The sequence below is a fragment of the Homo sapiens genome, chromosome 3 (genome assembly GCF_000001405.40).
Source record: "Homo sapiens chromosome 3, GRCh38.p14 Primary Assembly".
NCBI classification, from domain to species: Eukaryota; Metazoa; Chordata; class Mammalia; order Primates; family Hominidae; genus Homo; species Homo sapiens.
Window position 1 is genome coordinate 150,076,460 of NC_000003.12, and position 13,545 is coordinate 150,090,004.

The following is a 13,545-nucleotide window of genomic DNA, read 5'->3' on the forward strand; positions in this document are numbered from 1 at the left end:
TAAGTGCTTGCAAATAGGGGTTTATCCTCCTTGCACACTTGCTCTTAGAGTCCTGAGCCACCACATAGAGAGATTACGTTGTCCTATTGGAGAGACCACCTGGAGAGAGAAAGATAGAAATGCCCAACAAAACCCAAGCTCTTTTATCCAGGCCAACTGAGGCACCAGACAGCTATCTTGGACATTCCAGTCTCAGCAGACACCATGTGGAGCAGAAGAACCTCCCAGCTGAGCCCAGTCAATCCATAAAACCCTAAGAAATAATAAAATATTGTCTTAAGCAACTAAATTTTGTGGCCTGTTATATAGCAATAGATAACTGAGATAGACTGCATTTAATAAAGGTTAGCTATTTTTAAGTTATCATCGTTATCCAGTGACTCTATTTCCTCCAAAATAATTAACATGAAGACACGAAAAACTTTCTTAAAAACTCACTCAAAAAAAGTGCTGTCTTCCTACTATTTGCAGAGCAACAATGACTTGTCTCCCATGTATATAAAATAGTATCCCCCCAAAATATGCCTTCATAGCAATTTTGAACTCTTAGATCTGCAAAGCAGACAAATTTAAATTTCTCATCATGTTTGGATTATTATTACTTATTATGTGACTATAAAATTTCTCTATTTTTAAAAATCTTTGAAAATGCATGGGGGAATTAGTGCATTTGTGCAGAACCAGACTTTATTTTTCATCTACTTACTGACACTTCTCGAGAGAAAGTTAAAAAGTACTCAACACTACATCAAAACCACAGACTCTCGAGGATAAAAGGGCCTTTGAAAGGTCAACCAGTCTGCTGTACTCTAGGTAGACTTTTCATCTTAGCTTCCCTGAGAGCTGGCAAGGCTCCTGTTTCTAAAGTTCTGCAAGCAATGTTCCCTGGGTTAGCAGCCACAAAGCCCTTCATGCATGGCATTGGTGTTTCCAGGGGAAAGCATGGGGCAGTGTTAACTTTGTGTCCCTCTTGAGTCTGCCACATTATAGACTGCTGTAGTTTAGGGTCACGTTTGCAGCCATGAAGAGTGCCATTTGGTAGAAAGTCATTCATTTTATTGCTTGCATTACACACAGCTTCTATTGGGCATATGTGAGTAAAAACCAAATTGTAAGGTAGGGAAAGTTTACCTGTCCTCCCCACCCTTCTCTTTTGGCTAGCACCTGCAGGCTTTCATCTCAAAGACTGGCTTGTCTTCAGTTGTTTACAGGACAAGTGAGTTTTAGCCTTGTATTACCTCTCCTTCTACATTGACTTCTTTTTTCATGTCAGGTGGGCAAAGTGCCAACCTGTAGGAAGAAGGTTTGAGGGAGGCACATCTCACACGTAAGTGTGATACCACATCATCATGCTCATGAATTGCAAAAGGATCTATACTGACATATTAGGCTGAATATCTCTCTCTGTCTCTCTCTCTTTCTCTGTGTGTGTGTGTGTGTGTGTGTGTGTGTGTGTGTAATATATATAAAACTATAAATCATCCAGTTGTAGAGGTAAAGGCCTTATGCCCTGTTAATCTAATTGTAAAATCAGAGAGGCAGGAAGTAGAGTCTATTCCAACTCCCCCACCCTTTTCTGCCCTAATCATTTTAAGATATGAACGGGGGTGGGAGCATGAGTCAGGAAGGGGACCAGGAAAAAGCATTTGGCTTGGAGACAAACATTTACAAAGGATCTCAAATTTAGGCTTTTAACGTTGCTTCCAAATGAGGTTATAAATACAGTCATAACACAGATACTTCTCATTCAGCTCTAAACTCACGTCCCATGACTGAACCATCCTACCTCTAGGGTGCTATAAGTTAATTATATAGAAAAAACCTTAACTTCTATATTACCTGTAAATACCACAGTTATATGCCATTGCATTTTCTGAATTAAAGGGTATAATTTGTTAAATGTAAACATTAATGATATTCCACAATTTTGTGATCCTGTTTTTACAATTCCTTGAAATAATAATAGCTAAACATTTATGGAGTGCTTTTCATATGTTAGGCCTTTCACAGAAAACGTCACAATGACTCAGTAAAAGTAGGAACTATTATCACTCCATTTCACAGCTGAGGAAACTGAGGCACAGGCATGTGGGGAAATGTGCCCAAGGTTCATAGGTGATGAAGCCATGGATCTGGGATTTGAGCCCAAGCAATGTGGCTCCAGAGCAAACACGTGCAACACCCAAATCTATTTCTTAGTTTCAAAAGTCTCATGTGGAGAGCCCCTTGTGATCTCCAAGAGGTGCTGGATGGATGGAGAACGATGTCAGAAAGGAAAGGCCAGGTGTCCCGTGAGGCTGCTGAAATACAAACTGCTGGAGCAGGGCTGGATGAAATGGCCTTTTCTGGAATCTTCCAGATGCATGTCTGTCTTCCCAGCTGTTTCCCCACCTTATTTCCTTGCTAATCTCCTGCTCCGTCTTCTCTCTCTCATCCCCAGCTTTGCCTTCACCTCTTTTCACAAGATTCCAGCATGTGGGGGCCTCAGTCCCTTCTCAGTGTTTTCTCTCTAGCCGGGCCTGGGCCTCATCCTCAGCTCCAGTCTCCGCCTCAAAATTTCTCCTGCCTCAGGCTCTGGGTCACTCCTTCTGGGCCAGAGGTCTGGGGAGCAGAGCATGGGAGTGAAGAGGAACCTGTGAGCCGGAAGGAGGAAGGCAACCCAGGAGGCCTGGTCTGTACTGCCAGGGCCTGGTAACCAGCAGAGTGTGGGAGAGATGTGTGCTCTACATCACCGGTGGTGTCATGGAAACCTGCTGACACCGCAGTTCATACTTCTGTGCAGTGAGATGGAGATGATGTTATTCACTTGAATGCCAGCCAGGCTGGGCCACACAGGCAGGCCTGGTCACGGCTGTTTGAATCATTAGGCCCCACAGACATAGGGGACATGAGCTTTGTAATGGCCCACAAAATGTTTGAGATCTGAAAATATATATATATAGATTACAACAACAGAAAAGTAAATCATAAAATAAAGATAAATGTCTAATTAAATGTCTGCAAACTGTAATACCATATCATCTAGTCAGCCACAAGTCAACTCATGTAAATAATATTTAATGTGGAATGTGGGTGGATTTCTGTGTGAGTTAATATGCTTGCAATGATCTGAAACTGATATTGGTGCACAGGGGCTGCTCCCTTGGAGGAAGCTGGTTGTGGGGGCAGGATTACATATGTTAGAGGATTTGGATAGAGGGGAAGGCCATGGATAGGCACCAGGGACCCTTAAAAAGGGCAGAGTGAGACAAAGGGGGCGGTATCCAAGATACCCACATATTCCCCAAAGTGAACCCCTCCTCAGGGCCCTGCAAATCTTTTGTAAAATTCCAAAAAACCCAGTTGGTTCAATTGAGTTTCTTGCAGAAGCCATCAAAGGGAGTAGGTGGGAGACTGAGGAGGAAGGTTTGCCTCTCTCAGTATCTCTACAACAGAAACTGCCTCTGTCTACTTCTGCCTGAATGTCCAGTACCTTGTAGTTCAAGCAGCCTCGCTCTCAACGCAAGAATCTCTTAATGGGTGTTCTGCTTTCATTTCTGCTTCTGTTCAATCTTCTCTCCACAAAACAGAAACACTGACCTCTTAAAAATCAGCAATCAGATCCCTTAGGACTCCCACTTAGAAGAAACGTCCACCTCCTTCTTCTGGTTACAAAGCCCTGTGTGATCTGGCCCCTTCCGGCTGCTCATCCCCCATAGCCACCCTTTCTCTCCTGAGTGCAACTAATCTCAGCCACTCAGGCCTCCCTTGTCTTTGAAATGTGCGCAGCTCAGCCTGGCCTCAAAGCTTTGGCCCTGGTGGTTCCCTTTGCCAGGAACCCCTCCTCCAGATTTACAGGCTGCCAAGCTGGCCATCCAGGCCTCAGCCAGCAGCCACCTTCAAGGGAAGACTTCCCTAACCCCCAAGGGGAAATTCACTACATCTCAGGAGCTCACAGGACCCTGTTTCACTTTCTTCATCAAACTTTTCACTATCTGAAAATCTCTTTTCTTGCATTGAATTCCTCCCTTTCGTTTGTTTGCCTCTCACCCACTGGAATTTAAATTCTGCCACAACAGGAACTTGCCTGTGTTTTGCACCATTGTGTTGTTGTTATTGCCTATAATAATGCCTGGGATGTAGTAGGAGGTCAGTAAGTACTTGTTGAAAGAATGAGCTAAAAAAATGAATAAATAGGGCTGAACTGACATGGCCCACAGGAGTGCAGAAATCATGGAGATACCTTGAGGTCCTGAGGTTGGGGATAAACTAATTTTTACCTAATCTGCAAGTAGTCTCCAAGTAACATCTGGTTTACATGTGTATTTAATTATACCCTATCTTGTTTCAGAAAAATTTGTCATTTTCAACGATACATATACTGCAATAATTTATTTTTAAATAGTGAATATGGGGAGGAAATAAGTGTTGAAAAAACAAGATGAAATGGGGAAAAGATTAGTAATTAAACTAATATCACAAAGTTCTTTTTACCTTGCCAGAAGTGGATTGCAAATTGAACATGGAACTTCTTAATAACCAGTGATAGCTTATCTATACCAAAGTCCTTAAAAAAGAGAAGATAGAAAATGCAAAATTTTCCTTATAGAATTTTTACCTGTTGGCCATGAAACATAACAACTATGTATAAAATGAGAAGTGTTCTCAATTAATGTTACTAATCTTAGTTATAGCACTAAATTTGGTTTGCCATCAATTAATATTTATCGAACATGTGCACTCAAAGAGTTTACACATTCCAACAAACTTATGTGTCTTCTTCACATCCTGCTCAAGTCAGCTGGCAGGATTCAGACCAATTCAAAACATTTCCAAGGAGCACAACCTGCAGCAAGTAGAGTTGGCAGCTCCCTTGGGTGACGCGTGTCTGACTTAGCTTACTTCTAATTGGCAGAAAATTCTTACTTGAGTTAACGTACAGGCTCCTTAATATTACTGAGGCTCATTTTCTTCATGCTGCCTTCTCAGCCCTCTTCTCTAGAATAAAGCCCCTCCATTGGTTTAATTTTTTCCAAAATTTATATGTTTCCCCAAACTTTGGTCTCTTTGTTTCTGTCTTTGGAGTTTTTCATGTTCTCTCTTTCACACACATGCACACACACACACTTTTGAAAGATAGTCTAATAGCACAGTGTTGAAAGTATAAGCCATGAAATACTGACCGAGTTGCTTTGCATTTTTGTGCCTCTGTTCTTTGTTGCAATTGGGGGTGATAATTTCACCTACCTTTCAGGGTGGCTGTGAGGATTAAATGCATTTGTACACGCCTGTAATCCCAGCACTTTGGGAGGCCGAGGCGGGCGGATCACGAGGTCAGGAGATCGAGACCATTAGCCGGGCGTGGTGGTGGGCGCCTGTAATCCCAGCTACTCGGGAGGCTGAGGCAGGAGAATGGCATGAACCCAAGAGGCGGAGCTTGCAGTGAGCCGGGATAGCGCCACTGCAGTCCAGCTTGGGCGAAAGAGTGAGACTCCGTCTCAAAAAAAAAAAAAAAAAAAAAAAAATGCATTTGTATATGTAAAGTGCTTAGAATATAGCCTGGTGCGTGGCAAGCACTATGTGAGCATTAGTGATGATTATGATTACATGCCATTCCCCTTTAAAATGGCCCTCCCCCCTACTTTCCAGAAACTGTGCCCCTTGGCAGAAACTGTGTTTATTCTTGCTGTCTCCAATCTCCACATCTCTGAACATGCCTGGAATTTCCTTCCACCCTTCTTTGTTTGAAGAACTCCTACTCATCCTTCACAACTAATCTTAGATGTCTCCCCCTGCAGAAAGCCTTTCTTGGCCGGGCACAGTGGCTCACGCCTGTAATCCCAGCACTTTGGGAGGCCAAGGCAGGCAGATCACGAGGTCAGGAGATCGAAACCATCCTGGCTAACACGGTGAAACCCCGTCTCTACTAAAAATACAAAAAATTTGCCGGGTGTGGTGGCGGGTGCCTGTAGTCCCAGCTACTCAGGAGGCTGAGGCAGGAGAATGGCATGAACCCAGGAGGCGGAGTTGGCAGTGAGCTGAGACCACGCCACTGCACTCCAGCCTGGGTGACAGAGCGAGACTCCGTCTCAAAAAAAAAAAAAAAAAAAAAAAGAGCCTTTCTTAATTGACACTGCCTCCCCTGGGCTCTCCTAGCAGCCGGTGCATACTTCTAGATCACAGGACTCAGAACACTGTGAGGTGTTATCTGTTTACTTGTCTGTCTCCGCAAAGGACTGTTGGGACAAGAGCCAGGACATATTGGTTGCTATATAGTGGTTGCTCTGTTCAATGCTGGTTGAACTAAAATGAGTACAGAACTGATTCCGTGGGGGAAAAAAAGCAACCAACAAAATGACAGCATCACATTCTCATATATATCATACTTAAACAATCCAGTATCATGCTTGCTTTTCTGGCTGGGACTAAAAGAAACTACTTATTTTTATTCTTTGTCATTTAAACAAATTGAGATTTAACTCATCGTTGCAGATGAAGCCTTATTTCTCTTGCAAAATGAAAACCATTTCAGGGAAGTGGTATAAAGTGTTGGACAGAACCCTTTACTGGTCACTGGATTTGAGCCCCACTACTGCCCCTCCTAGTTGTGAGATTTGGTGCAAATTAGTGAATCTTCCTGGACTTCAGTTTTCTCATCTGTAAAATGGGTATTGTGGTACCTGCCTTGTCTCCCTCTCACATTTCTTGTGAAGATCAGATGTAATGGTAGATGTGAACGTGCTTTTACAATACTAGATCACACCTCTGTAGATGTGAGATAATGTATTATTTGGAAAGAAATCTTGGAGTTAGACACCTATTCCAATAAGGGGTAGGGAACTATTCTAGCTGCAAGGTTAACTGTAGATATTAGTCCTTCTGAATCAAGATTCAACTGTAAAGCAATTTATATTCATTAGATGTTAAGAGATGTCCCAATATATTTCACATAAATGGCACTGTTTTGAGAGGCAGGGTGTGTCTCTGCAGGCTTGTTCAGTGTTCCTAGGGAAGAGGATAACTATGTAACTTCATCAAGGGGATGTGGGGGCAGGGCTGGACAGTAGAGGCAAATGCCAGGGTGCACACTCCAAACACAGGGCTGTGCCAATTATGACTATTTTTACATGACCACTGAACTCTGAAAACTTACCATATAACAATTTGTCAGCTAGAAGATGTCTACATGCTAGTCCTTTAATTTTTCTTTGCTGCTTTCTAATTTTACTGTGATGATAACAAAATGAAACCACAGCACTTCCATCAGAAATCAGAGCATGTCCGTGAATAACTAACAGACTGCATCCAGTTTTCCCAGTGAATTCTCAAAGCCAAACGTGGGTTGGCTTTTGTATATAAATTGCCAGTGCGCCTTTTCCATTCTGGTGGGAGCTCTCTGAAGGGAACATTACAGCTGTGATGAATAACAGTCCCTCTAAAGAAGCTGGCGTGAAGCACGCATTTCATCCCACTGAATGGAACACTGCGCCTGCCGCCAAATGTTGCTGGGTCTCCCACAATTAAATAAATATATACATATGTCGCTTGGCTTTGTTTCCAAGTCTTAGGCTCTATAGAAACCAAGCACTTTATTACTATTAATAATACTATGGTTATAATAGATGCAGAGCCAAGGAATGGTACTTTGTCCTTAGTGGTTTTGATGAAAGTTTCCATTGTTCATTACTTATTTCTTACAACAACCTTTAACCCCTTGTTTACCACTATAATAAATGACAGTATTTTTCCAATATACGTTATCTCTATGTAGCCAATATTTTGATCAATTAATCTATAAAAATGATAACATCTACCTCAGAGACCAGGATAATCATAGTTAACATTTATTATGTGCCAAGCATTTTTCTAATTATTGTTATACCCATTTTGCAGGAGAGGAAACTGAGGTTCAGGGAGATTACATTACTTCTCTAACATGGCATAGCTGGAATTTGAACCCAGACCACTATGTTCTAATGCTTCTCCATGTAAGTAAAAGCCCAAACCACTGTACAATGAATTCTCTTTGCCTTTTACTGCCAAACAGTGACAGAATCACAACTATTCCTGTGTATAGAAAGGTTTTTTTTTAGAGACATAACAGTTGTTAGTGGCTCTCAGTAATGATTGTCAAGATACTTTGTTTTTGAAATGCCACTTAAAAAACCCAAGATATTATTTAGACCCAAACAAGAGACTATGGAGTAAATATCTAGTTTTCTGTTTCATTAAAAAATTCTATTATCTGTAATTCTTGAAGATAACATCACCTGCCCTTTGGACAATTCCTATCAATTTTAATTTGTCTTGTTACTCTCCACTCTCCCTACCCTCCCACTCACCTGAAGGCTGTTATGGAAACTGCCGTTCAATGGCCTGGCTCCCTGCCACCTCACCCCCAGCTGTAGTGAGCCTATTGCCTATGGGATTGGATCCAAATTCATCATGTCAAAGCCCTCATTAATGTGGTTTCATCTTACTTATCCATTCTTATTTCCTTCAATTTGTCCACATCTACCCTGACTTTCAACCTAGAGCAACTCCTTTCTGCCCTTCGGATATGCCCTGCTTACTCCTTCTGATTCCACACCTTTGATCATGCAGTCCCCACTCTGCGAAGTACTCAACTCCAACATATAAAGACCCTTCAAGACCCATTTCTTCCTTGAAGCCAACTATTTTAGTACACCCCCATCTTGCTTTCCCCTAACTTTCTTCCTATTTCAAATATAGCTATTAACAGTTAGTTGAGCTATCAATTATTCTTTAAGGCATTGCTAAACAGGTGACATTTGGGACCCCCAAATATATTGTCACCTCCTTAAGGACAGGGCCCACCTTAAGTGTTCTCTTATATCCTCCAGAATATCCAGCACAATGCGGAGGAAACATTAGGTACTCAATATATACTCACCGGGTAATGAAGTTTGGAAATAGTCAAACTTGCATTTAAAAATCTTAGGTTTTTAATTTATAGCACACTTATTAATTTTATAATTTTATTTAAGTAATACTCTAAAACAATCTGAATGTACAACAGTAAGTGTTATTTAAGGAATAATACATCCATACAATGGAAATAATATGTAGCTATTTTAAAAAGTGTTCTTTAGTTTAATGAGATCCCATTTGTCAATTGTGGCTTCTGTTGCCATTGCTTTTTGTGTTTTAGACATGAACTCCTTGCCCATGCCTATGTCCTGAAAGGTAACGCCTAGGTTTTCTTCTAGGGTTTTTATGGTTTTAGGTCTAACGTTTAAGTCTTTAATCCATCTTGAATTAATTTTTGTATAAGGTGTAAGGAAGGGATCTAGTTTCAGCTTTCTACATATGGCTAGCCAGTTTTCCCAGCACCATTTATTCAATAGGGAATCCTTTCCCCATTGCTTGTTTTTCTCAGGTTTGTAAAAGATCAGATAGTTGTAAATATGTGGCGTTATTTCTGAGGACTCTGTTCTGTTCCATTGATCTATATGTCTGTTTTGGTACCAGTACCATGCTTTTTTGGTTACTGTAGCCTTGTAGTATAGTTTGAAGTCAGGTAGCGTGATGCCTCCAGCTTTGTTCTTTTGGCTTAGGATTGACTTGGCGATGCGGGCTCTTTTTTGGTTCCATATGAACTTTAAAGTAGTTTTTTCCAATTCTGTGAAGAAAGTCATTGGTAGCTTGATGGGGATGGCATTGAATCTATAAATTACCTTGGGCAGTATGGCCATTTTCACGATATTGATTCTTCCTACCCATGAGCATGGAATGTTCTTCCATTTGTTTGTATCCTCTTTTATTTCGTTGAGCAGTGGTTTGTAGTTCTCCTTGAAGAGGTCCTTCACGTCCCTTGTAAGTTGGATTCCTAAGTATTTTGTTCTCTTTGAAGCAATTGTGAATGGGAGTTCACTCATGATTTGGCTCTCTGTTTGTCTGTTATTGGTGTGTAAGAATGCTTGTGATTTTTGTACATTGATTTTGTATCCTAAGACTTTGCTGAAGTTGCAGATCTAATTAAACTAAAGAGCTTCTGCACGGCAAAAGAAACTACCATCAGAGTGAACAGGCAACCTACAAAATGGGAGAAAATTTTCACAACCTACTCAGCTGACAAAGGGCTAATATCCAGAATCTACAATGAACTCAAACAAATTTACAAGAAAAAAACAAACAACCCCATCAAAAAGCGGGCAAAGGATATGAATAAGACACTTCTCAAAAGAAGACATTTATGCAGCCAAAAGACAATGAAAAAATGCTCATCATCACTGGCCATCAGAGAAATGCAAATCAAAACCATAATAAGATACCATCTCACACCAGTTAGAATGGCAATCATTAAAAAGTCAGGAAACAACACGTGCTGGAGAGGATGTGGAGAAATAGGAACACTTTTACACTGTTGGTGGGACTGTAAACTAGCTCAACCATTGTGGAAGTCAGTGTGGCGATTCCTCAGGGATCTAGAACTAGAAATACCATTTGACCCAGCCATCCCATTACTGGGTATATACCCAAAGGACTATAAATCATGCTGCTATAAAGACACGTGCACACGTATGTTTATTGCGGCACTATTCACAATAGCAAAGACTTGGAACCAACCCAAATGTCCAACAACGATAGACTGGATTAAGAAAACGTGGCACATATACACCACGGAATACTATGCAGCCATAAAAAATGATGAGTTCATGTCCTTTGTAGGGACATGGATGAAATTGGAAAACATCATTCTCAGTAAACTATCGCAAGGACAAAAAAACCAAACACCACATGTTCTCACTCACAGTTGGGAATTGAACAATGAGAACACATGGATACAGGAAGGGGAACATCACACTCTGGGGACTGTTGTGGGGTGAGGGGAGGGGGGAGGGATAGCATTAGGAGATATACCTAATGCTAAATGACGAGTTAATGGGTGTAGCACATCAGCATGGCACATGTATACATATGTAACTAACCTGCACATTGTGCACATGTATCCTAAAACTTAAAGTATAATAATAATAAAAAAATAAAAATAAAAAATAAAAAGTGTTCTTTCAGAAATATTATGATGTCAAATGCTTTGTGATACATTGGTAAATTTTTAAAATGTTACAAAAACCATGTTCAGAATATTCTCAGTTTGGAAATGAAAACTCCAATATTAACCAATATTAAAAAGTGCTAACCACAAAGGAAAAGACTAATAATTCACACTTTGAAAAAAGCATATACCTTTAACAGAGTATGGGGCAAGCCTGACAGAGGACTCAAATCCAGAAGATATACAAGAATTCTTACAAATCAATAAGAAAAAGGGGACAGTAACTTTTAAAAGATGGGCAAAAGGCTTGAACAGGCATAAACAAGATGTCCAAGTGGTCAATAAACAAATGAAAATGTGCCCAACACCATTAGTTATCAGCAAAATGCAAATAAAAACCATAATGAGATACCAGTACACACCAACTGGATGGCAAGGATAAAAACAGAACAAAAAACAAAAAACTGAAAATATCAAGTGTTCGCAAGGATAGGGAGCAACTTTCTGGGACTTCTATTACCATTCCTTTATGAAGAATCCCTTGTTTCTTCTATTCAATGACTTTGTATTTCTTAGTTTATCTTCTATTTTTGCTGGTATCTGTATACTTTGATGCTTTCCTAAGAAAGAATGGATAAGACTTAAATTTTTGAGTACTCTTAGAATTTTTATGGTATTTATCCATTATCTTCTCTTTTGTTTTTGTTTTTGAGACAGAGTCTCACTCTGTTGTCCAGGCTGGGGTGCAGTGGCATGATCTCGGCTCACTGCAACCTCCACCTCCCAGGTTCAAGCAATTCTCCTGCCTCAGCCTCCCAAGTAGCTGGGACTACAGGTGTGTGGCATCATGCCCAGCTAATTTTTATATTTTTAGTAGAGATGGGGTTTCACCATGTTGGCTAGGCTGGTCTTGAACTCCTGACTTCAAGTGATCCGCCCACCTCAGCCTCCCAAAGTGCTGGGATTACAGGCATGAGCCACCATTGTGCTGGGCCCCCATTGTCTTCTACTGTCTAGTGTTGCTGCTGAGAAAGCTGAAGCCCATTTTGAAATAATCACCAAAAGCTTTATGATCTTTTCTTGTCCCTGGTGTTCTAGAATTTTTAAATGATCAGCCTTAGTTTGGGTCTTTGTTCTTTTTCCCACTGTGATGGACTTTCCAGGATCCATCCCTTTCCATGTGAAACTCACATCCTCAAGTTCTGAAAAATGTCTACAATTTCCTCCATCTCAGCCCCACACATCCCTCATTTTCCCTTTCTGGATTACAGGTGACCATTGGACCTCCTGGGTTATTAATTTTCTTTCTCTCTTTTATTTCATTTCTTGGCTTCTTTTTGTTCTACTTATAGTAGATTTTCTTAACTTTATCATTCTACCCTTGACATTTTCATCTCATTTTTAGTGATAATAATCACTGAGATTTTTATTTTGGCTATCATAGTTTAAATTTCTATGAGCTTTTCCTTATTATTGGAATGTATCTTTTTTCCTAGGCTTGATTTGGTTAGTGAATACAAACAACTTCTCTTTTCTCCCATAGAAAATAAATTATAATTGTTCCAATATTTTCTTCTTCTCACTTCGTTATCTCATTCATATACATTCCCATAGTCTGCATATTTGTTTTGGTGTCACTTTCTTGTATATTGGAGGATTTTTCTATTGTTGGTGATCCTTGGCCTCTGTTCATATTTTAGAGGGAGGAATTAAAATGTGTAAAAGTATATATACTGCACGTATCACCCGGTGAGCCTCTCTGTTGAATTATCAAGAAGAAAAAATGGCAAATTTTATTTTTAAAAATGTCAAGCAATGATTTCCAAATAAAAAAGTAACCTGTTCAATACCAAAGATTCATGAATAATAAAAATTTTGGTCATGAATAAGTGGGTAGATGCAGAAGTAAATTGTTGAATTCTAGAATCCAGTTTAACTCTACACTGTAGAGAAAAAGTTGAAGTGGTAGATCCTCAGTAAAGCAGCTCCATGGTTTATAAAAAAAGTATAATAGCGCTCTTCATTCTGAGCAGGTAAACAGAGCTCTTTTTAAAGTGATTGTGGAGAAAATGAATCTGACGGAATATTTAAAAACTCATTGGTGCCTGTTGGAAAACCTTGAAAGATATTATAATTTGAAGACAAATTTGTTAGTATAGTGTACACTTCCTCACAATTTCCTTCTTTTCTTTAACAATCTTATAAAAATTTGCACTTAAAAGCACCTTGGCTGCTGAAGAGTTCTGTGGGTTGTTGGATTATTTTCCTTTCACCTCATGGTTTCACTTCACCTAGTAATTAAAACTGTAGAAAACCAAAAAGAGGCAAATAAGAATAATATTCCTCAAGGTTGCTTTTCCTGTCGTTAGCAGAAAGTCGTCAAAGTATAACGTTTTTAAAAGTTTTTCAGAAGATATTGAATTCATTCAGACATTCAAGAGAAATGAAACTTGCAAACACCATCAAAGCCTCATGAATTCCTTTTACATATTTGCCATTAACTCATTTTGTCATAGCAACCTCATTAATTCATCATCTTTGTTTTT

The 13,545-nt window shown here is 39.9% G+C and overlaps 1 long non-coding RNA gene across 4 annotated transcripts; it reads right to left on the reverse strand.

The window, feature by feature from the left end:
* Positions 1–1,034: 1,034 nt before the first annotated feature.
* LINC01998 (long intergenic non-protein coding RNA 1998) lies at positions 1,035–5,355 on the reverse strand. 4 transcript variants are annotated; one of them, NR_183737.1, is made up of 3 exons: positions 5,227–5,355; positions 4,474–4,546; positions 1,035–2,922 (listed from the first exon to the last, which is right to left on the reverse strand). It is a non-coding gene; the product is annotated as a long intergenic non-protein coding RNA 1998 (long non-coding RNA). The 4 variants fall into 4 exon arrangements; NR_183736.1 differs by lacking the exon at positions 4,474–4,546; NR_183735.1 differs by lacking the exons at positions 4,474–4,546; positions 5,227–5,355 and adding an exon at positions 3,580–3,669.
* Positions 5,356–13,545: the final 8,190 nt, after the last annotated feature.